General features: G+C 41.8%; 1 protein-coding gene across 1 annotated transcript, besides 4 other annotated features; it reads left to right on the top strand.

The window, feature by feature from the left end:
- Nucleotides 28–567: a silencer, noted in NCBI's record as "silent region_15067". NCBI's record gives its function as "represses an Ori minimal core promoter by ATAC-STARR-seq in GM12878 lymphoblastoid cells {active_cell/tissue: GM12878}" and the evidence as "EXISTENCE:reporter gene assay evidence [ECO:0000049][PMID:35858748]".
- On the top strand, nt 71–20,470 carry FBXO45 (F-box protein 45). Its single transcript, NM_001105573.2, has 3 exons — nt 71–713; nt 8,864–9,220; nt 15,544–20,470. The coding sequence occupies exons 1-3, from the start codon at nt 396–398 to the stop codon at nt 15,727–15,729; spliced, it is 861 nt and encodes a 286-aa protein (NP_001099043.1). The 5' UTR covers nt 71–395; the 3' UTR covers nt 15,730–20,470.
- Nucleotides 689–983: a silencer, noted in NCBI's record as "tiled region #4041; K562 Repressive DNase matched - State 2:TssF". NCBI's record gives its function as "represses a minimal TATA promoter and a strong SV40 promoter by Sharpr-MPRA in K562 cells {active_cell/tissue: K562}" and the evidence as "EXISTENCE:reporter gene assay evidence [ECO:0000049][PMID:27701403]".
- Nucleotides 1,324–1,872: an enhancer, noted in NCBI's record as "H3K4me1 hESC enhancer chr3:196296784-196297332 (GRCh37/hg19 assembly coordinates)". NCBI's record gives its function as "activates a minimal SCP1, AML or CMV promoter by ChIP-STARR-seq in naive H9 embryonic stem cells {active_cell/tissue: H9 hESC(naive)}" and the evidence as "EXISTENCE:reporter gene assay evidence [ECO:0000049][PMID:30033119]".
- Nucleotides 1,873–2,420: an enhancer, noted in NCBI's record as "H3K4me1 hESC enhancer chr3:196297333-196297880 (GRCh37/hg19 assembly coordinates)". NCBI's record gives its function as "activates a minimal SCP1, AML or CMV promoter by ChIP-STARR-seq in primed H9 embryonic stem cells {active_cell/tissue: H9 hESC(primed)}" and the evidence as "EXISTENCE:reporter gene assay evidence [ECO:0000049][PMID:30033119]".
- Nucleotides 20,471–23,864: the final 3,394 nt, after the last annotated feature.

The raw sequence follows: 23,864 nt of genomic DNA on the forward strand, positions 1-23,864 counted from the left end.
CAGGCGTGAGGCGGCGCAGCCAAACAGTCACATCCGGGGCCGAGAGGAACCGCGAACGAGCTGGGCGTGCGCCCTTGCTTCGTGCCCTCAACCCGCATGGCGGAGCCGCTGGCGCGCCGCGGAGAGGCCGGGCGAGTCGGGCGGTTTCGGCGCCCGCGCTGAGCCGCGGAGGAGGGGCGGAGGACGCCCCTGCAGCCGGTGCGTCTGCCCTCAGTGAGGCGGGGCGCGCGGCGGACGCCCCCGGGCAGGGGCGGGAGTGGTGGAGGCGCCGGCGGTTGGCACTGACAGGGGCGGTGAGCGAGCCGCTCCGGTCTCCGGGCGAGGCTTGGCCTTCCGAGCAGAGACGGCGGGAAGCGGCGGCGGCAGCGGCGGCCCTAGGGCCGGCTGGTGAGGCGATGGCGGCGCCGGCCCCGGGGGCTGGGGCAGCCTCGGGCGGCGCTGGCTGTAGCGGCGGCGGCGCGGGCGCGGGCGCGGGCTCGGGCTCTGGGGCCGCGGGGGCCGGGGGCCGGCTGCCCAGCCGGGTGCTGGAGTTGGTGTTCTCTTACCTGGAGCTGTCCGAGCTGCGGAGCTGCGCCCTGGTGTGCAAGCACTGGTACCGCTGCCTGCACGGCGATGAGAACAGCGAGGTGTGGCGGAGCCTGTGCGCCCGCAGCCTGGCAGAAGAGGCTCTGCGCACGGACATCCTGTGCAACCTGCCCAGCTACAAGGCCAAGGTGAGAGAGCCCCGGGCCACACCGCTGCCCCCAGTCCCGCTCCCCGGCGTCGTTCGCGGTGTTTCTCATCCGAGCTTCTGAGTCAGAAGCTTCGCCTCACCAGCCCGCCTTTCCACGGCTCCAGTCAGTATCTTCCTCACCTCCCCCCAAGATAAAGATTCTCTTTTCTTTGGATCGAAGTTCTGCTCCTTAACCCATCCCACTTCCGTGATCCACTTTTCAAACAACTAGGTAGTTTGCCTCACTCATTCAACTTTTGACAGTTTTCCCCGTTAAAGACAGACCACCACTCTTGTACCTTTTAATGCCCTCATCCTACTTTTCTCCCCGGCCTCCAGATAGACTTCATTATATTAAATAATCCCGGCCACCTTAACATGGGCTTAGTTTCTAAGTTTCTAAGTTTCTAGTTTGCTTTCACTCCACGTTTATCTCATCTTTTCCAAGCTCTGATTTTTAACCATTTGTTTTCATTATTTTCCCCCAAGTTCTCTTTAGTTCCCTCCACTATATTGGAGGCTTACAAGTGAGTGTAGTTCTAGTCATCCTGCTCACTTACAAGATACAGGCTTTTATAGAACGTCCACGGGCACCACCTAACATACTGCTTTGTCCTGCTGTTATTGGCTGTTTCCTTGCTAACTTTTTAATAGTTCCACATTGATGGTGTCTCTCTTTTTCTATTTGTCATCTAACGTGCTGATTACAGTTTCGCTGCATCCTTCCTGCATATTCCGCCCGCCTTCATATACAAAATAAAAATGTCAAGGAACAAGTTGTGGTACGGCTGAAAGGACTCTCAGGCCGAATAAACAAAGGGTCTTGGTCTTGAGTTGAGTTGAATGGTTAACAGCTATTCAGTATAGCAGTCAATCAAGATCATATATAAGAGAAGATAAAGTCTGATTGCAATGTGTTAAACATAATGAATGCATTAGTAACTAAAACGATAACATCCCCCCCTTTTTTTTTTTTTTTGAGACGGAGTGCAATGGCGTGATCTCGGCTCACCGCAACCTCCGCCTTCCAGGTTCAAGCAATTGTCTTGCCTCAGCCTCCCGAGTAGCTGGGATTACAGGCATGCGCCACCATGCCCGGCTAATTTTGTATTTTTAGTAGAGTTGTGGTTTCTTCTTGTTGGTTAGGCTGGCCTCGAACTCCCGACCTCAGGTGATCCGCCCTCCTCGGCCTCCCAGAGTGCTGGGATTAGAGGCGTGAGCCACCGCGCGATAACACCCCCTTTTTAATGCTAGCTTGCCAACAGGGGTCGGAGTAAGAAGTAAAAATTTTTTTTTCATGTGAAGCATGTAAAATTTATACTTATGTAGTAAAACCGGTTTTAGTTATAGAAGATAGGGAACATTGCCATTAAATATGTAAACTATCAAGTTGTTTCTCTTTTCTTTTTTCTTTTTTTTTTTTTTTTTGAGACGGAGTCTCGCTCTGTCACCCAGGCTGGAGTGCAGTGGCGGGATCTCAGCTCACTGCAACCTCCGCCTCCCGGGTTCACGCCATTCTCCTGCCTCAGCCTCCTGAGTAGCTGGGATTACAGGCGCCCGCCACCACGCCCGGCTAATTTTTTGTACTTTCAGTAGAGACAGGGTTTCACCGTGTTAACCAGCATGGTCTCAATCTCCTGACCTCGTGATCCGTCGCCTTGGCCTCCCAAAGTGCTGGGATTACAGGCGTGAGCTCATGCGCCCGGCCTCAAGTTGTTTTTCTATTAAGCGAAATAACAATAATTTACTAGGACTGTTTGTGCGTGGTGGCTATTCAGTGGATACTGGTTGTAATTTATATAGGTGAGTACAGACGATTGGAATTTTGTCCTACTTTGATAAATGTGTCGGTTTCATAAATTTTATTTAGTTTTTATTTTTCTGTAAAGTTTATTGTTTTTACTTATTTTAAACTAGGAGTTTTTGTTGTTGTTTTTGAGACAACAAAACAACAAAACTCTGTCGCCCAGGCTGCAGTGCAGTGGCACAATCATAGCTCACTGCATCCTCGACCTCCTGAGCTCAAGGGATCCTCCTTAGCTTAGCCTCCCGAGTAGCTGGCACTTCAGTCATGTGCCACCACACTGGCTAATTTTTTATTTTTTAGAGACACGGGGTCTCACCTTGTTGCCTAAGCTGGTCTCAAACTCCTGGACTCAAGCGATCTTCTTGCCTCAGCCTCCCAAAGTGCTGGGGTTACAGGCATTAGCCACTGCACCCAGCCTAAATTAGGAGTTGTTGTTTTGATAATTGACTTGTAATAGAAATGTTCACATGATTCAAGATTCATATTATAATATGTAATAGATAATGTGTTCGTGTGAGTCAAGCTTCAATAGAAGCAAAATGATATCAAGCAAAATGTTTTCCTTTCATCCTTGTCGCTCAGCTACCCGGTTCCTCTCCATGTATGCAACCTGTCTTACTTTTTCTTTTGTATCCTTCCAGAGATATTTTAGGTTTCTGAGGTTTTTAATACTTTGCTTTTCTGCTATGTGCATTATAGATGTTGTAGACTTGTACCAATCACTGTTCATTCACACATTGTAGGACTTCCCTTGAATATTTTGAGGATAAAAGATTAATTCAAAAGGAGTCAAATAGTCTAGTAGGAAATCTTTCAGTCTAGTAGAGGAGAGAAAAATGTATAGAAAGAACTGCTAATGTGTGGTAGAAATTGCTCCTTACTGTTACAGACATAAAAAAGTATACTAGAAGTTCAGTGAAAGGAGGAATTTACAAACTGAGTGGAGGATTGGAGGAGATTTGAGGTTGAGCTTATATTTGAGCTGAATTTTAAAGATGAGGAGGAGTTTAGTATTTTAGGAAGAGGAAGTACTCTGAGCAGAAGCAGGACAAGAGGAAAGTAAAGGGTTTGTACAACATATATTTTTATTTAAAAAAATGAGTGCCAGGCACTATGCTCATTTGCAGATGCAATGGCAAATAAAACAAACACAGTCTCTTAATGGATGTCTTGCCTTATGGAGCTTACAGTCTAGTAGGGGAAATGGATATTAATCAAATAATCACACAGATGTAAAACCGCATCTGGTAAGTAGTATGAAGGAAAAATACCTAGTGCTCTGATTGTCAGTAGTGGAGGATTTAACCTGGTGGAGAGGTGAGGGAAGGCTTTCTCAGATCCATGTACTGAGACCTGAAGGATGATAAGTAGGCAAAGGGGAGAGAGAACAGCCTTCCAGGAGGGAACCTTATGAGTGTGAGGGATGGAAAATATGTCAATGTGGCTGGAGCACAGAGAGCAAAGGTGATGCTGGTTTGAGATAAGATGGAAGAAGTGGACTGGGACCAAAGCGTAGGGAAGCCATTTTGAGTTGTAAGCAAGAAGGATTTGAGGTGTGGGGATTGGTGATATGATTATTTTGCATTTTAAGAGATTATTTCTGACTTTAGTATGGAGAACTAAATTGTTGGTTGGAAGAGGACCTTAGAAATATGGTAGATCAATTAGGAAATAGGTAGTGGAGGAGATAGAAATGGGCAGATTTAGTAAGTAAAATCTATAGAATTGGCAATAGATTTGAAATAGGGATGAGGAAGAGGGAAGTGGTAAGGATGACTCCTAGTATTTGGCTCACATAATGTAGAGATCAGTTGATCTAGATTTTTTTTTTGAGATGAGGTCTTGCTCTGTTGCCCTGGCTGGAGTGCAGTGGAATGATCATAGCTCACTGCAGCCTTGAACTCCTGGGCTCAAGCGATCCTCCCACTTCAGCCTTCTGTGTGGCTGGGACTACAGGCATGTGCCACCATGCCCAGCTAATTTTTATTATTATTTTTTTTTGTAGAGATGTCTCATTATGTTGCCCAGGCTGGTGGGCTAGGTTTCGAAGAAATGGCAGTGAGTTCAGTTTTGGGAGAGCAGCATTTACAGTATTTTTGAGACAGAGATTTCCAATAGGCAGCTGTTGGAGGTTGGAGCTTAGAGGAGAGATCTGCGCTAAAGATATAAAATAATATAGTTAGATTGAATGAAAGGAAGTAGTGGGAAATATTATAAAGCTATATTATGGGACTAGATATATCATGGAGGGCTTTGAAATATAGCCTTCAGTCTATAGTTTGGGTTTTGTACTACAGTTGTAAACCATAGAAGTTTGAACAGCAGAGTGACAAAGGCTCTACTTCAAAAAGACTAGGCCATAGATGAGTTGGAGAGGGCAGCGGTTAGTGCCTATACCAGAGATACTTAAGACTGGAACAGGTACATCGAGGAGAGAAGGGGATGGCTGGAGAGCTGTCGTAGAAAACAATATACATAGGTAGACAGCTGACTGGGTGAATGGGATGAGGAAGATGGATGTGTCAAATGGATTTTCCCAGGAGCCTGGATAACAGAGAATGATAGGAAAAGGTTTAGGGATAGCATAGAACAGGAAAGTGGAGTTTATTAATCTGTTCAGTTGTTTTTTTTTTAAGTTCATATTTTACATATCACCCCGTAGCATTAATTATTTAAGTCATACTTGGCATCTGATGAGAATTCTCTAAAGTTCAGACTTAGATTTTAAGCTAGGTCTTCATGCTGCTTTTGCCATAACAAAATTCAGGTTGTGCATGGGAATGTGAGGCTATGGGTTGTTTTTAATTTATTAATTTGGTCTTTATTTTCCTTTTTTTTTTTTTTTTTGAGACAGAGTCTTGCTCTGTTGCCCAGGCTGGAGCGCAGTGGCACAATTTCAGCTCACTGCAACCTCTGCTTCCTGGGTTCAAGTGATTCTGCCTCAGCCTCCCAAGTAGCTTGGATTACAGGAGCCTGCCACTACGTCCAGCTAATTTTTGTATTTTTAGTAGAGACAGGCTTTCACCATGTTGGCCAGGACGGTCTCGATTTCTTGACCTCGTGATCCGCCTGCCTCGGCCTCCTGAAGTGCTGGGATTATAGGTGTGAGCCACCATGCCCGGCCTATTTTCCCATTTCATATGAAGTTTCCAGTATCTGTTTCTAAAAAGTAAAGACACTTAATGTAATCACAATATGGTTATCACATCTAAATATAAATGTACATTAATTCCTTAATATCAAAAATGCAGTGTTCAAATTGCCAGTTGTCTCATAAATGTTAAATGTTGCATTTTAAAGTTATATTTTATATAATCAAGATCTATATAAGGGTCCCATGGCAAAGGTTGATATGTCTCTTAAGGCTATTTTAGTCTACATATTCACTCACCATCTCCCCAACCTCCCACCTTATTTGTTGAGGAAACAAGGTGGTTTACTCTCAGCTCGATTTTGCGGATTTCATTATCATCGTGTTGCTTGACATGTTCTTCTGTCCTCTATTTCCTACTGAGGTGTGATCAATTTAGATTAGATTAGATTTTTTTTGCAAGTTATTTTGTACTAGACTCAGTGGTTAAAAGTGTGTTAGAAAATAAGAGCTGCTAAATTGTTACGTGGCACAGAAAGTGGTGGGCAAGCACCCGGCAGAGAGAGACATCAAGGGAATTGGGTGGCCCTGGTTAAGAATAGCTTAATAGAGGTGATCTTAGAGAATGTGTGGGAGAAGAAAGCACATATAATACTTTCAGCAAGAAGAACATCATCAAGGTAGAAAGGGAAATAGGAAGAATCAGATTTGGAGGGCTGTGAAAGCCAGGCAGAAGAATTTGCAGTTGGTGATGCTACTAAGTATGGAACTACCAGAGGTTATAGAACTGGGATGAGATATGTAGTAAAGGTGCTGTTTTAGAAAGACAGGTTTGGAAATAATTCAGATAGAGAGTTGAGGACTGAGTTTGGAGAATTTGGTTGGGGCAGAGGAAGGGTGGTCACCAAAAAAGGAAATGATACAGGATCAGTTCAGGGAAATAGGAAGATGTCATAGAAGTTTGAGGAAGAGAGGGCCGGGCGTGGTGGCTCACGCCTGTAATCCCAGCACTTGCGGAGGCCAAGGCAGGCGGATCACCTGAGGTCAGGAGTTTGAGACCAGCCTGGCCAACATGGTGAAACCCTGTCTCTATTCAAAATTCAAAAATTAGCCGGGTGTGGTGGTGCACGTCTGTAATCCCAGCTACTCGGGGGAGGCTGAGACAGGAGAATCGCTTGAACCCAGGAGGCAGAGGTTGCAGTGAGCTGAGATTGAGCCACTGCACTCCAGCTTGGGTGACAGAGTGAGACTCTGTCTCAAAAAAAAAAAAAAAGAAAAGGAAGTTTAAGGAAGAGGTTGTCAATAGTGTCAATGTGAAATTGGAATTTATAAGAATTGGGGAGTAGGCATAGGGAAATATTAATTAAATATTTTATAGTGAATTATTGATATTATTCTCTTGAGTTATTTAGACAGTATTTGCTATTTTGGGGACATGTTCCTTCCCCATTTAATCTTCTTTTCCTTTCTTTTCTTTGTTTCTTTTTTTTTTTTTGAGACAGGGTCTCACTTTGTCACCCAGGCTGGAGTGCAGTGGTGTGATTTTGGCTCACTGCATCCTCTGCCTCCTGGGCTCAAGCATTCCTTCTGCCTCAGCCTCCCAAGTAGCTGGGATTACAAGCGTGCACTGCCACGCCCAGCTAATTTTTTGTATTTTTACTAGAGTTGGGGTTTCGCCATGTTGCCCAGGCTAGTCTTGAACTCCGAGTTCAGGCGATTTGCCCACCTTGCCTTCCCAAAGTGCTGGGATTGCAGGGGTGAGCCACCGCGCCCGGCCCCTTCATTGAATCTTACGTTTTGGTCTTATAAGTGCCTTAAAGTATTTTATAATACGAGCAGATAGGAAAAACATTGGGAATGCCTCAGTTTTATTGTGAATGCATGGGATACTGGAAACAAATAGTTCTCTGTTTTTAAATCTGCGCTCTGCAGCTCACTGAAACGGTAGAGTGCCAGCGAATGGTAAACGAACAGGTGGTGAGGGGACTGGATCCTTGATCTCTCTTTGGGCCTCTTGCACTAACTCGCGGTTGAAATCCCTGAGAAGGACTAGGTGACCTTTAAGGGTCTTCCTAAATGCTGACATTCTATGCCTCTGGAGTTGATTTTTCTCAGGTTAGCTGAAGCATAGGTCCCAGCCTTCCACTGCTTTGGGTAGTTTGACTAAAGTAGAGAAGGGATTTTTTAAAAACATACTAGCCAGGCAGGCGTAGTGACTCGAACCTGTAACCCCAGCTACTCGGAAGACTGAGATGGGAGTATCACTTGAGCCAAGGAGTTCAAGGCTGCAGTGCGCTACGATTGTGCCACTGCACTGCAGTCTGGGTGACAGAGTGAGACGTTGTCTAAAAAAAATTTAAAATACACAAACTAAAAGTTTAAAATTGTTTATGAGAAATTGTTATTGTTTGTATAGAAGAGCTATTTTCATACCCTCTTTATTTTGGAAGTGTAAACCTTTGTATTTACTGAAGAGTCAACTAACTTGTCTTATTGATAGCTTCTCTTCATAAATTCTAGTAGTTGAACCTAGATGCTATCTAAGGGATTATTTGATTTGGTAAAATGAGATTGGTGATTTTTTTATTGTGTAAGTCATATCCAGCAAGTAGGCTGAGGATCTAAGGTAGTTTGTGTTTACTAAAATTTTTCATAAACTTTAGAGCTGCTAGGATTAAAGTTTCTGTTTTATGTAAAATATAATTCTTTTTGATGACAGCATTGCCCATATGAAAACTGTACATCTCAACTTTTTGGTATAAAAATATCAAATATAAACAAAAGTAGAGAAAATAGTTTGATGAACTTCCTTATACCCATCACCAAGCTTTGCCAATGATTAATTTATGGCCAGTCTAGTTTCATGTTTCTATTGCACACTCTCCCACTCCATCTCTGGATATTTCAAAGCAATTCCCAGATACCATTATTTTATCCATAAACGTTTCAGTATTATCTGTAAGATATAAGGATTTTTCTTTTTTGTATCTTTTGATGTTTTAAGAAGTCTGTTTGAGGAAATACTACAATTTAAAATTTTGGTCAGTGATGAAACGGTTGGCATTTATTTTTTAATGTTATTTATTCTGTTAGTATTCCATCCTGAAACTTCAGCCATTATTTGGAAATACTTGTGTTATTTTAAAATATATAACTTCGTTATTTAAAAACATACAGCGTGAAGTTTGGGTAATTTTTAATATTTAAGAAAAATAAAATTGTTATTTATTTGGTCTGTTTTTCATCTTTTTAGATACGTGCTTTTCAACATGCCTTCAGCACTAATGACTGCTCCAGGAATGTCTACATTAAGAAGAATGGCTTTACTTTACATCGAAACCCCATTGCTCAGAGCACTGATGGTGCAAGGACCAAGATTGGTTTCAGTGAGGGCCGCCATGCATGGGAAGTGTGGTGGGAGGGCCCTCTGGGCACTGTGGCAGTGATTGGAATTGCCACAAAACGGGCCCCCATGCAGTGCCAAGGTTATGTGGCATTGCTGGGCAGTGATGACCAGAGCTGGGGCTGGAATCTGGTGGACAATAATCTACTACATAATGGAGAAGTCAATGGCAGTTTTCCACAGTGCAACAACGCACCAAAATATCAGGTGAGAAACTGGGGTTTTTCTCAAGTATGGGCCTTTGTCAAATCACGCCTTAATTTGTTTTAAATTTACAAATTTTTATATAGCAGTTTTTGTCTTTTTGGTAATTTTTATTTTTATTATTTTTTTATTTTTTCAGATACCCAGACTTCAAGGAGATTTTTTTTTTTTAATGTTAGGGGGTTATAGTTAATTTTGTTGGGTGTTATATTTTGATTTTGGCTATGCAGAAAAATATTCTTTTTTTTTTTTTAGACAGAATCTCACTCCGTTGCCCAGGCTAGAGTGCAGTGGCGCCAACTCGGCTCACTGCAACCTGCACCTCCCAGGTTCAAGCAATTCTCTGCCTCAGCCTCAGTAGTTGGGATTACAGGCGCCCACCACCATGCCTGGCTAATTTTTGTATTTTTAGTAGAGACAGGGTTTCACCATCTTGGCCAGGCTGGTCTTGAACTCCTAACCTCGTGATTCACCTGCCTTGGCCTCCCAAAGTGCTGGGATTACAGGCGTGAGCCACCATGCCCAGCCTCAAGGAGATTTTTTGACCATTTTTAAATAAATGTATAAATGATCTATCTCAATATTTGTTTCCTAATACAACTTTAAGCAGCCTATTTTTGCTCCAGATCAGGGGTTGGCAAACTTTTTGTAAGGGCCACGTAGTAAATCTTTAAGTCTTTGCAGTCCATATGGTCTCTGTCACAACTTTTTTTTTTTAATGTCATTTTCAAGGTAAGGATCTATCACGAGTTTCAACTCTATTTATAGTACAAAAGCAGTCATCGATAATACGTAAATGAACGAACATGGCTGTATTCCATAGACCTTATTTATGGGCTGCAGGACAGATTTGGTCCAGGGGCTGTAGTTTGCCAGTTCATGCTCTATATCAAGCTTGTCCAACCCACAGCCTGCATGCAGCCCAAGATGGCTTTGATTGTGACCCAATGCAAATTCATAAACTTTCTTAAAACATTATGAGATTTTTTTGCAATTTTTTTTTTTAAAGCTGATTAGCTATCTTTAGTGTTAGTGTATTTTATGTGTGGCCCAAAACAATTCTTCCAGTGTGGCCCAGGGAAGCCAAAGGATTGAATACCCCTGCTCTAGATGGTCATCTTTCCTGTATCACGGCACATCCAAATCTTTTTCTAGGCTCCTTACCCCAGTAAATACAGCTCTGTGCATGCACATGTTTGTGGATTCAAAGCCCCTGGAGGCATCAGTGAGTTCTGCAGAGACAGGCAAATTCAGGCAAACTGCTGTATTTTTTATTCTTTTCATCTTAGGCTTAAGGCATACTCATTTGACTCAAGTTAAAATTATAGTTCCTATTTGTAAAAGCCGTATTTATTACTACAGACTTAACAGGGTGTAATATACAATAATCTGATAAGAAATTGGAAGTCTTTAAAGAACTATAGATTGCATATTTCAGAGCCACCTGTGGCGTGAAAGTTCCAGCCTCAGTAATGACCTCAAGTCAGGCATACTAAAGCAGAAGAACCAAAAATACATCCCATTTTCTGAGGTATAAAAGCTGGAAGGATTTTTTTCATGGAATGTTTCCTCACTATCCTTTTAGGCTCTGCGGATACTATAAGGAGAAGGGTGTGTAGACTTTATCACTAAAAACGAAGTCCTGTCGCCACCCTTGTAATGATTTTGTAAGTGAAAGTCCTTAAGTCTGTTTTTCAGAGAACATGCTCTATGGTTTTAGTCCTTTTAAATTTATTGAGATTTGTTTTATTCTAATATGTGGTCTGTCTGGATGAGTGTCCCATGTGTGCTTGAAAAAATGTATATTCTTTTGCTGAATGGAATATTCTGTAAATGAGAATTAGGCAAAGTCGATTGATAATGTTCAAGTCTTACATAGTGTTACTGATTTTTTTCTACCCTTCTATTATTTACTAAGAGGAGTATTGAAATCTCCATCTATCCTTGCTAATTTGTCTTTCTTCTTTTAGTTCTCTCAGTGTTTGCTTCATGTATTTTGGAGCTCTGTTACTACTGGTGCATATACATTTCTAATTGTTTTATCTCCCTGCCTGATTTATTCTTTTATTATGAAATGACTTCCTTTGACTCTAGTAATCCTCTGTCAATCTGTCTTTGTATTTAAAGTGGAGCTCCTACACAGCACATAGTTGGATCTTGATTTTTATCTAACCCAGTCTCTGTCTCTGACTTTTTTTTTTTGAGACGGAGTTTTACTCTTGTTGCCCAGGCTGGAAGTGCAATGGCGCAATCTCGGCTCACCGCAACCTCCACCTCCCAGGTTCAAGTGATTCTCCTGCCTCAGCCTCCCGAGTAGCTGGGATTAGAGGCATGCGCCTCTAAACCACGCCCGGCTAATTTAATTTTATATTTTTTTAGTAGAGAAGGGGTTTCTTTTTTTTTTTTTTCTCCTTTTGAGACAGAGTTTCACTCTTGTTGCCCATGCTGGAGTGCAATGGCATGATCTCAGCTCACCGCAACCTCTGCCTCCCGGGTCCCGGTTCAAGCAGTTCTCCTACCTCAGCCTCTTGGGTAGCTGGGATTACAGGCATGCGCCACCACACCCAGCTAATTTTTGTATTTTTAGTAGAGACGGGGTTTCACCACGTTGGCCAGGCTGGTCTCGAACTCCTGACCTCGTGATCCGCCTGCCTCAGCCTCCCAAAGTGCTCGGATTACAGGCATGAGCCACCATGCCTGGCGAGACGGGGTTTCTCCATGTTGGTCAGGCTGGTCTCGAACTCCCAACCTCAAGTGATCCACCTGCCTTGGCCTCCCAGTTGCTGGGATTACAGGTTGTGAGCCACTGCGCCCAGCTTCGGTCTCTGACTTTTAAGTGTTTAGTTCATTTACCTTTAATGTAAGTGTTGGATTGCTTGATGTTGTCCTTATCTCTGCCTCTAAAACTATGTTCTTGTTTTTTCCCCCAACCTTGTTTCTCTCTAATCTTTGCATTAGATAATTTCTTTTCCTTTTTTTTTTTGAGATAGGGTCTCGCTCTGACACCTCGGCTGGAGTGGTGCAGTGGTGCAGTGGCGTGATGATCTTGGCTCACTGAAACCTCTGCCTCCCAGGCTCAAGTGATCATCCCACCTCAGCCTCCAGAGTAGCTGGGACTACAGGTGCTCCCCACCAATGCCTGGCTAATATTTGTATTTTTTGTAGAGACAGGGTTTTGCCATTTTGCCCAGGCTGGTTTCAAACTCCTGAGCTCAAGCAGCTGCCTGCCTCAGTCTCCCAAAGTGCTGGGATTATAGGCATGAACCACTGGGCTTGACCTAAATTAGATAATTTCTGTTCTGTCTTCAAGGTTATAAATTTTTTTCTTTTGCCATCTCACCTCTGCTATTGAACTGGGCTAGTAAATTTTGCTTATTGTACACTTCAGCTTTAGAATTTCCTTTTTTTTCTTTTTCCTTTTTTTTTTTTTTTTTTTTTTTTTTTTGAGACAGTCTCACTCTGTCGTCAGGCTGGAGTGCAGTGGCACGATCTGGGCTCACTGCAGCCACCGACTCCCGGGTTCAAGTGATTCTTCTGCCTCAGCCTCCTGAGTAGCTGGGACTACAGGTGTGTGCCACCATGCCCAGCTAATTTTTGTATTTTTAGTAGAGATGAGGTTTCACCATGTTGGCCAGGATGGTCTCGATCTCTTGACCTCGTGATCCGCCCGCCTCGGCCTCCCAAAGTGAAAGTACTGGGATTACAGGCGTGAGCCACCACACTGGGCCTGGTTCTTTTTTAGAGTAAATTTCCTTTTCGAGATTCCTTATTTATTTACTTATACTATATTTGTAAAAAAATCTTTGGACATATTCATAACAGCTGCTTTGAAGTCTTTACCAAATCCAACACTTAGGACCACTTGGATTCAGCTTCTGTTGATTGCTTTTTTCCCCTAAATATGAATCACGCTTTCCTGTTTCTTTTCATATCTAGTAATTTTTTTAACTGAAACCTAGATGTGTAGATAATATGTAGTAGTAACTCCTGAATGTTTTGTTTCTAGAAACTGCTTTATTCTCTGAAAAGTATAGGTTTTCTTGTTTTAGTAGGCAGTTAACTTGCCTATACTCAAACTATAAACTCTGTCTCATGTGATGTGTGGCAGCTAATGTCTGCTCAGTTTTTTCAGCTTTGCTGCTTTTTTAGTCCTGGAGGTTTACCCTGTGCCTTTGTAATATAGTGGTCACTCAGGGATTTGGGAAGTTAATTCTCAGATTTTGGGGTTCATCCTTTCTGTGGTTCTGTTGCTTCTGGAGTTCCTCCTCTAAGTTTCCAGTTGCTCTGCCATCTCCCCACGTTTTACCCCAGCACCTAAAGATGGTAAGACTTCGCTTTCTCCACCCTGGGCTTTGTGCGTGCTGTGTGCTCAAAGGTGAAGCAGATTTGCAGATTTCACCAGGAGTAATCGTTACTTAGTTTCAACTTCTGTAAAATAGGGATAGTTCCTAGGATTAGTGTGAGGATTAAATGGGATAATACAAATACGACACAACACAAATACCCAACAAAATTAGCTTTTCATTTCTACTTTGTTAATATTTTGTTGGTAGGAGTGGTGGTGATGATGATTTGGAGGTTCTTAGATCCATAAAATGAGGTGTGGGTTAATCTGTGAGGTGGGCAAAGGGAGGAAAAAAGCAGATGTTGGCAGTTACTGTTAACAGGAAATACAGTGAAGGAAAGTAAATGACAATAGTAGGGGTTATAATCAGGTAGAATTAAATTTTGATTGCAAACATTAGGACTTTCTGTTTCCAATTTTGTAGATGCAACATCTTTTTATAAAGGCAAACTAAAAAGATGAAACATCCTTTTTTTTTTTTTGCTTACTTTTCCAAATGGGAAAAAACTGGATATATTCTGCTTCCAGTTTCGTTTAATAATCAGTGCTGCTGTTTTTTATAACAAACAGGTGTTTCAGAGTTGTGAACCACAAATTGTTTAATAAGCCTATTCTATATTCTACATTAGAATTTGTAGCCAGATTGGATTATTCATGATTCCACATTACATGTGGAACTGCTTTGTAAACTTTAAAAGCTGTGTGTCTTACTAAGGTGATTTTTAAAATTGTGGTGAAACATACATATTTATTATTTTAACCATTTGTAAGTATACAATTCAGTGGCATTAAATACATTCACACACCTCTCTCTATACCCAAAACTTTTTCCTCACCCCAACATAATCTCTATTATGTTCATTCCCTATTTCCTTCACTCCCCACCCCTGGTAAACTCTGCTCTACAACTATATATATTTGAGTATTCTAGATACTTTATATAGGTGGAATCATACCATTTAGCCTTTTGTGTCTGGCTCATTTCACTTAGCATAATATTTTCAGGGTCTATCTATGTTGTAGCATATATCAAAATTTCATTTCTGTTTATGGCTGAATAATATTCCATTGTACGGCCGGGCGCGATGGCTCATGCCTGTAATCCCAGCACTTTGGGAGGCTGAGGCAGGTGGATCACGAGGTCAGGAGATGGAGACCATCCTGGCTAACACGGTGAAACCCGTCTCTACTAAAAATACAAAAAATTAGCCGGGCGTGGTGGCGGGCACCTGTAGTCCCAGCTACTGGGGAGGCTGAGGCAGGAGAATGGCATGAACCCGGGAGGCGGAGCTTGCAGTGAGCTGAGATTGCACCACTGCACTCCAGCCTGGGCGACAGAGCAAGACTCCGTCTCAAAAAAAAAAAAAAAAAAAGTTCCGTTGTATGTATAGTATAGTAATTTGAGAAGCTGATTTAGATTGCTCTTTTTGGTAAAATATGCCAAGTTATAGATTTTAGTGTTAACCTTAAGAAAAACCTTTAAACAAAGAGTAAATAAAATCAATCTAGGTAGTGTTCAGGTGGAACATTTAAATTGTAAGTAATTAAGTGTAGATTCCATGTGAGTCTTAAAAACAAAACTATCAAAGTAAGCATTTGTGATGTGTTACCTAGGCTGGAGTGCAGTGGGCAGTGGTGCGATACCAGCTTTGCGCCACCACACCCAGCTAATTTTTGTATTTTTAATAGAGATGGGTTTTCACCATGTTGCCCAGGCTGGTCTTGAACTCCTGGGCTCAAGCAATCCGCCCGCCTCAGCCTCCCAAAGTGCTGGGATTATAGGCATGAGCCACTATGCCCGGCCAGATGTATGTCCTTTTTTTATAGATGTTTCTTCCTGACTAGAAAGCTTCCCTTCTGATTTTTCTAGATAGCTTTCAGGATAATATTCTTAATATTTTCAACTTCTTGATTTGTGTCTTGTTTCTTCTAGCTACACCCTTGGCAGATTTTCTTCTAACCTTTTGATATCTGTTTGCAGATAGGAGAAAGAATTCGAGTCATCTTGGACATGGAAGATAAGACTTTAGCTTTTGAACGTGGATATGAGTTCCTGGGGGTTGCTTTTAGAGGACTTCCAAAGGTCTGCTTATACCCAGCAGTTTCTGCTGTATATGGCAACACAGAAGTGACTTTGGTTTACCTTGGAAAACCTTTGGACGGATGACAGTGGCTTTCTTGTGATGACAGACAGAATGGAGGAGAGATCTGCTTATGGGAAGTAGAACCATGAAGTGACTGTCACACATGCATGTCCAAGAAACATCCTGAAAACACATGAAGTCGTAAACTGGAGAAGCAGCTCTACAGCAGAGATTATCTTCGTGTTTCCTCTTTCTACTGGGCCAGAAAAATCCTCAGGGTTGCAGTTGGTTGAGTGGGCAGTTGACATATGCATGTTGCACCCGATGTTGTCTCTAAGTTAGCAATGTGTTATTTCCAGCTTTAAAGGTGAGATTGTAGAGATGCTGTCAAAGGGATAAGGAAATAGCAAGATTTTTAAGTAGTGTGTTTGTGAAGACTGATCCCATTTTACAACTGCCTGTTCTTTCTCCAGTCCTTTTTTTTCCAGCCAGCTTGACTATTAGAAAAGTATGAAACTGGTTGGGTTTTATTTAATATTTTTAATATATTGAGAAGCATGGTCTGCCTGGACTGCACTTCTCTAAAAGTGAGATATAAAATTGTGCAGCTATTTTAAAAGTTGTATATAATATGTGTGTAAAAAAAAAAAACTGTAAAAAAGAAAGGACAAACAGGTTGTTTTGTTCTAGTTCTAATTTCTTAAAAACCACTACATGGTTACAAAATTGGAATAACATTTGGGGACAACTGGGTTAACTACAAAGAAGAGGATTTTAAGAGGAGATGTGTTGTATTGACTCATTTTGTATTATTTTTGGCTTACAGTTCCCATAGCTGTTAGAGTCTGGTTTGTTTTTGTTTTTACTCTCAAAATCATAGTAAAGATCTCTCAGTCTCCTGGCTAAAGATTGAAGGAAGGCAAATCTATTTCTAATTATACATATATCAGTAAGGATGATCTCAACATAATAGTAATGTGTATCTTTTGGTATCCAGTTTTATTTTTGGCCTTCTAAGAAAGTGTCTCATAACACAGAACATTGCCATTTGCTCTTGTAGGCCTCAAATATGAAAGCTATTAGTCATAGAGCCTAGGAAAAAAAGAATTGATTAATGGTCCTTTTATTTTGTAACCTTATAAATGCTGTAGATATTATCAAAAAAATTTTAATTTCATATTGTTTACATCATGCAACTAATCTAAGCCTCAAACTCGTTATTGGGGCTATAAAGAAAACGTTTACTTACCCAGCTGAAACAGGTTAAGAATATTCTTAATCTCATTATAGATAATTGCCCCCATGGGACTTGAAATACAACACCTTGTGCTGAAAACTTCAGGTTGGCAATATTTGAAGGTTTCGTTGTAGAAGAGTTTAACATTAACTCCTATTTTGACTTACAAATCTTGTTTCTCATCACTAAAATGCTTTTGAATTAATAATCCAACCCACATGAGCTGAGAGTTTTTCTTTTGTTAGAAAAGAAACAGACATCTTTCTGTATGAAAGTATAAATTGTATGGTTTTAGATACATAAGAATTGACAAAAGCGAGCGAAATCTTTGTACTTCTGAGTTCTTGCTGTATGTATGTTTTGTTTTAAATCTGATTAGGGACACCCAGCAGCTGGCCGGGATTCTTGGATTGCTCCTTGGGAGTTAAGATTGTCAATACTCCTGTGAAGCAAGGGATTTCAGCCATAGAACAAAGATTTATTGTTGCCACCTGAAAAGTTTACAAGTATTTATTGTGTATTTGATACATTGCTTGAAAAGATGAAATCTGTTAAAGATTCTTTTCGATGTCCAGGTTAAGAAGAAACCTCCTTGTATTGAGTGAAATTATATGTTAAATGTATTAGAGAATGTAGGTGGTATAGAAATTGATTTTTCTTGGTGTAGAACAACTCAGTTCGGCAAAGTTTAAAATTTGATTAAACAAGAGAAGTGGTTCAGGTTGAAGATGGACTTGTTAGGAAGTGATCAAGTCCTTTAAGTACTTGTTTCTTTTTCAGGTTGTGATGTGGCCATTCCGAATTTTGTTGAGAGTTTGGTTTATAATTGTCTCTTTTGTCTTGTTAGTAAACATTCATTTGCAACAGTTTTGAAGGTGCTGAGTGGAAAACCGAAACACATGGTTATTGCGTATTGGACCTAGAATGAAATAATTGCCTCAATATTTAACAACAAGCCATTCTTATCTCAAAGATTTAAATTCCCGAATGTCCCATTCGCAAATCATATGCAATTGAAGTGAGCAGCATGAGCATCTGGGTCATGAGGGCCTTCATTTACGTAAATTTGTCACTAAAACCCAGTAGTAGCTCTACAAAATCTTAAACTGCTGCAGTGCTCAAGGAGATGGAATATCTTTGTCATTGGTGCTGAGGAGAGCATTTCGGTAGAAGACAGTTGCGCCTGAAGATTGAGTGTAAATCATTCAAACCAGTGGTTCTCAGTGTTGGCTGTATACACTTTGTAGTCACTTTGGAATGTTGGAAGACACATCGATGCTTGGGTTCCGTATGCCAAGATTCTGATGTTGGTCTGGAATATGAGCTGGTCATAAGGATTTTTAAAAACTTTCTGGTCATTTCAATATGCTGCCAAGGTTGAGAACCACTGTTGTAAAATTCACCTTGAGTTTTCTCATCTGCAAAATAGAAAAAAAAAAATCCTTGCTCCCTCCCTTCACTACCTCACAAGGATATTGAGGGTAAAGGAGAAAATAATGGGAAAGTGCTTGTGCCGTGGATGAAAAGTGCTATTAAAAGTCAAAGGAGTGTTCTGTTTCAATTCATAGTATGATCAGGGAAAGTGTAACTGAGTATACTTTGTTGACTTGGGAAACCTGGAGCACTTTCTTTGGTTGGTTAACGAAGCATGCAGATGTGGAAGCAGACGTTACTATTATCCCTACTATGGTCTTCTGTCATACTGAGACAGGCTGTTTTAATTACCTGGTTTTACATAGGAAAGAAGAAATATTAAGGCTTAAAGTTTGTAATGATCAATGGCTCATAATTCATTAAATCTTTTCATACAAGGAATTTGTGGTTAATGTCATTTCATAGTTGCCATTATTTTCTCATTATTTGACTTAAATGTTAAGCCATTTATTTCATCTCCCTCATTCACATAAAGTGTAGATATGGATTCAATAAGACACCAAAAGAAAGTAAGATTTACCCAGTTAATATTTAAAATCATTGTTCAGTGATTAGGCATTTTCTGCCTTTTAGAATTATTTGACTGGAGAAAGAGTTTCAAAAATAGCAGAGCCCTAAACCATAAAGAAACTACTACTGTATAATGAACTTTTGTTTGTTTTTGGAGACAGGGTTTCACTCTACTGCCTAGGCAGGTCTTGAACTCCTGGGCTCAAGCAGTCTTCCTGCCTCAGCCTCCCAAGTAGCTGGGATTACAGGTGTATGCCACTATACCCAGCTTTAACTTTTAAATCCCCAAACTATGTAGATTGTCATATTAATATTAATTTTTTTTTGTTATTTTGAAGAAGTGAGTAATTTGAAGAGATAGAAACTTAGGGAGTGGTGTGTGTGTTTCTTTTTTGGAGACAGAGTCACGCAGGCTGGAGTGCACGATCTTGACTCACTGCAACCTTTGCCACCCAGGTTCAAGCAATTCTCGTGCCTCAGCCTCCCGAGTAGCATGTGCCACCACACCTGGCTAATTTTTTTCTTTTTTCTTTTAGACGGAGTCTTGCTCTGTTGCCCAGGCTGGAGTGCGGTGGTGTGATCTCAGTTCACTGCAACCTTTGCCTCCCGGGTTCAAGTGATTCTCCTGCCTCAGTCTCCCGAGTAGCTGGGATTACAGGCACCTGCCACCATGCCTGGCTAATTTTTGTATTTTTAATAGAGACGGGGTTTCACCATGTTGGCCAGGCTGGTCTCGAACTCCTGACCTTGTGATCCACCCACCTCAGCCTCCCAAAGTGCTGGGATTACAGGCATGAGCCACTGTTCCCGGGCCTAATCTTTGTATTTTTAGTAGAGGGGGTTTATGCCATGTTGGCCAGGCTGGTCTTGAACTCCTGGCCAACACCACCCACCTCGCCTCCCAAAGTGCTGGGGTTACAGGCGCGAGCCACCGTGCCAGGCCAGAAATTTAAGGAGTTTTAAAGGTTAGCATTGAAAAGATTACTTTCCAGAAATTGAGACCACCACAGTTCCACAATTGGGACTGTGGTAGATAATCAGGACCACTTGGAAGCCTTTATTAGGAACAGCCCACACCCAGCCCAAATGCTGTCCTCAAAAACATTCCTCAGTTTCTCTAGCTGAATGTAATCTCTCCTTGAAATTTCCCTAGTTTTATATATCTATAGTTGACTCATGCTGTATTTATTTATACCTTGTTTAAAATTATTTATTGATTATTTATTGGTGTCATATCGCCCCTAAACTGGGACAGGATCTCTAACGGACTCATCTTTGTGCCACAACATGTAAGCCCAATAGGCAGGTGCTCACATATTTGCTGAAGGAACAGAGAAAGAACTGCGGAGAAAGACAAAAGCTCCTCTGAAGTTTTAGACTATAGAAGCAAAAATTATAGTAGCAAAAGATGAATGAGAAATTCTGTTCTAGTCCCAGTGAAGCAGGAAGGAAAGGGTTGCAAACTTGAGGCTGGTAAGGAAGAAATAATTACTGTGAATGCATTTAGCCACTCCCCTCTACTCAAAAATACTGGTAAACTCTGATTTTTATATTTGTTTAGAATTTAAATTAGAATTCTGTATCTTTATTTTTTGGAATTCTGTTGTTTTGCCTTAGTTTCTTAATAAAAAGTTAAACATTAACCACCTGTGATTGCTTACATTTAAAGACATTTTTTACACATTGGTTAGAAAGAAAAATTGGGGTGCCTTAATAGCCAGAGGTGGTGATGGAATTTACCTATAAATTCCATGGCTTTAATAATAGAATCCACATTCCCCATGTTTAGAATGGAAAGTGGACAGAGAACAGTAATTCACTAGGGTCTTATTTCCCAATTGCCTCTACCGCCCCCCACCCCACCCTCCTGCTGACATTTGTTTGATAATGCAGTTGTTTGCCAAGAATTATGAGAGACAGGCATGCTATTCCTGAACTGGCTGAATACACGGCTCCTGTGATCCAAAAGCTTAAAAGAGAATCAGTTGATGATGTTGCTAAACAAGTTGGCTGATATGTTAAAGTTCAAAGCATTTTAATTTTTTTTTTTTTTTTTTTTTTTTTTTTTTTTTTTTTTTTTTTTTTGAGACAAAGTCTTGCTCTGTCACCCAGGCTGGAGAGCAGTTGATGTGCTCTCGGCTCATTGCAACCCCTGCCTCAGGTGATCCGTGTGCCTCGGCCTCCCAAAGTGCTGGGATTACAGGCATGAGCCACCGTGCCCAGCCCAAAGCATTTAAATTTTATAAAAGAAAAATAGGTGTAAATGTTCTGTATTTGCCGCTTTGTTTAGTGGAAAGAGACGCCAGAGACAGCTTTACCAGTCTGTTGTCCTGATTTCTTTTTTGGATCCTCCCTCGAACTGTTTGCTTCTTATTTAATGTGTTCACTAAAATACTGTTGAGAGCAACATGTTCTCTAGTCTTCAGAATAATAGTTTGCTGAAAGAAGTAGCCCTTTAAGATTTAAGATTGTTATTCAGCTTTTGTATGTAGGATTTCATGATGAGTGGCTCAAGAAGTAGGAATCATTTGGGGAGTTTCCTTAGGTCACCCTGTTGATAGTGTTTAATTTCTGTTTAAGGCAGGAAAACATTAAGAAAAGATTAGAGAAGTCAAGTCCTGTCTATGATATGATATGATACTTGTACACCATGTTATATTTCTGCCCCCTTTCCTGTATAAATAAAATGGGGATAAAATCAAGTAATGGTTTTGAGGTCATAGCTCCCTTAAGAAAGTCTCCCTGAAATAATGTATTAAAATTCTAGCGTCTCAAGTTAGATTCATTAGAGGCATATTGTAGTGGGAACAGACCAGATATCTTTGTTTATTTTAATATAGCTAACTTGTTCATATTCCCAACCCATGTTTAAAGAGCATATGATTGATCTGTGCCCCCTTGTTGGTCATCTTCACCTTGGAAGGAAAGGAGGCTTAAGGTTGCAATGAGAGTTGTTGATGACATCTCTAACCCCTCAGTAGGCCAAAGAGTGATGTAGTTCATGATCCAATTGCCCAGAATAGCACGGACAGATGGTTACTTTGCTAAAAGACATGTTGGTAGCAAAGACACTGCTCTGAGCAGAGACTGGTGGCAAAGCCCAGCGCAATCCACCCTTCTGAGCACAGCCTACAGGAACTTCAGTGCCGACGGAGTCACGGAGGCCACTCTAGGTTTTACATGGCCATAGTTGAGCTTCTGAAATTTTGAAGGATCTCCCTGCCCACCCAGCTACTAGTCATCCACTTGGTAATGTAGACAGAATGAAAAAGGCAGGAAAGATCATTCATCAAATTATTTTCTAACATCCGTTATCTAGCAGGCTTTTACCAGGTACTAGAGATGGAAAGATGAGAAGGAAAAATCGAAGTTGCTGACAAGCTTCTGTGAAAGCAAATGTGGAAACAGACTACTGTGAAACTGAGGTAACTGCTTTAACGAAATTACAGGTGAGGTCCAGGGTGGCATAGGAGAGGGAATAGTTAACCTGGGGCGATGTTTAAGCTGAGCTTAGAAGATAGTAGGTGGGAGCTAATGAGGATAAATCCACTGTTCCAGGCAAGTGGGATAGGACGTGCTATGATACGGAGGCACAGATAGGTCCGCTATGTCTGGAACCATGCTGGACAAGTGGTGGGGGAGGGCATGGAACAGGGAAATTGCGTCTGGATTATAATTGCCATACCAAATAGTTTGGGTTTTGTCTATTTTTTCATGGGGGAAGCCATTCAAAAGTTTTCAGCAGGGGCATGATTAGCTACAAAAACCAATATCTGAAAGGTGGGAGTCAGGAGGTCTAGGCAGAAAATGATGAGGACCTAAACTAAGGTGACTAAAGATGGAGGAGGGATGTATTTAAGAGAATGCAGGAACACATGTGGACACCATTTGTATGTCAAGAGTGAGAAGCTTTTTGGTGCAGACATTTATAAGGTACTGCTTATTAAGAAAGGGTATTGAAAAGGAGGAATAGATTGGGAGGTGAGGGGCCGAGCGCAGTGGCTCACATCTGTCATCCCAGCACTTTGGGAGGCTGAGGTGGGCAGATCACCTGAGGCCAGGAGTTCGAGACCAGCCTGGCCAACGTGGTGAAACCCCGCCTCTACTAAAAATACAAAAATTAGTCGGTTGTGGTGGCAGGTGCCTGTAATCCCAGCTACTCGGGAGGCTGAGGCAGGAGAATGGCGGGAACCCAGGAGGCGGAGCTTGCAGTGAGCCGAGATCGCGCCATTGCACTCCAGCCTGGGTGACAGAGCGAGACTCTGTCTCAAAAAAAAAGATTGGGGGGTGAGGGTAACGAGTGCGGTTTTGAACATGTTAAATCGGAGGTGGAAATACAGAAAAGGCAGTTGGAACTAGTGAGCCTGGAGTTAAGGAGATCGGCAGCCAGCTGGATGAGAGAGCTGCTGGTGTGCCGCGTTCCTCACTGGCCGTACGGGCTCCACAGCCCAGCGGGTAGAGCGAGGGAGGCGGGCCTGCAATACCCCCAAAGGACAACCAACTGCCTTCTAAACCGTGACTCTGCCAACTAAAGGCTGCGGGGGTGTTTTGTTGTTTCGGGATTTTTCTTTTCCTTACATACCCCACACCTCTGAATAACAATCCTAGCAGTTCAATTTTTTTTTTTTTTCTTGGAGACAGAGTCTCGCTCTGTCGCCCAGGCTGGAGTGCGGTGGTGTGATCTCGGCTCACTGCAACCTCCGCCTCCCGGGTTCCAGCCATTCTCCTGCCTCAGCCTCCCGAGTAGCTGGGATTACAGGCGCCCGCCACCACGCCCGGCTAATTTTTGTATTTTTAGGAGAGATGGAGTTTCACCGTGTTAGCCAGGATGGTCTTGATCTCTTGACCTCGTGATCTGCCCGCCTCGGCCTCCCAAAGTGCTGGGATTACAGGCGTGAGCCACCGCGCCCAGCCTCAGTTCAAAATTTTTAGGTGCCTCTTTTTAATTTTGGGAGAAGCTCAGCAATGTTCTATCATTTTGGTCTTGAGGCAAGACCACTGGATCAACAGCACAGGACTCATGCGGTCTAAGTCCTG

Source organism: Homo sapiens, chromosome 3, assembly GCF_000001405.40.
Source record: "Homo sapiens chromosome 3, GRCh38.p14 Primary Assembly".
In the NCBI taxonomy this organism is placed as follows: domain Eukaryota; kingdom Metazoa; phylum Chordata; class Mammalia; order Primates; family Hominidae; genus Homo; species Homo sapiens.

Coding starts and splice junctions, on each gene's coding strand:
- FBXO45 (NM_001105573.2), top strand. CDS start 396: ATGGCGGCGCCGGCCCCGGGGGCTGGGGCAGCCTCGGGCGGCGCTGGC. Junction 714..8,863: donor TGCCCAGCTACAAGGCCAAG/GTGAGAGAGCCC, acceptor TCATCTTTTTAG/ATACGTGCTTTTCAACATGC. Junction 9,221..15,543: donor ACAACGCACCAAAATATCAG/GTGAGAAACTGG, acceptor ATCTGTTTGCAG/ATAGGAGAAAGAATTCGAGT.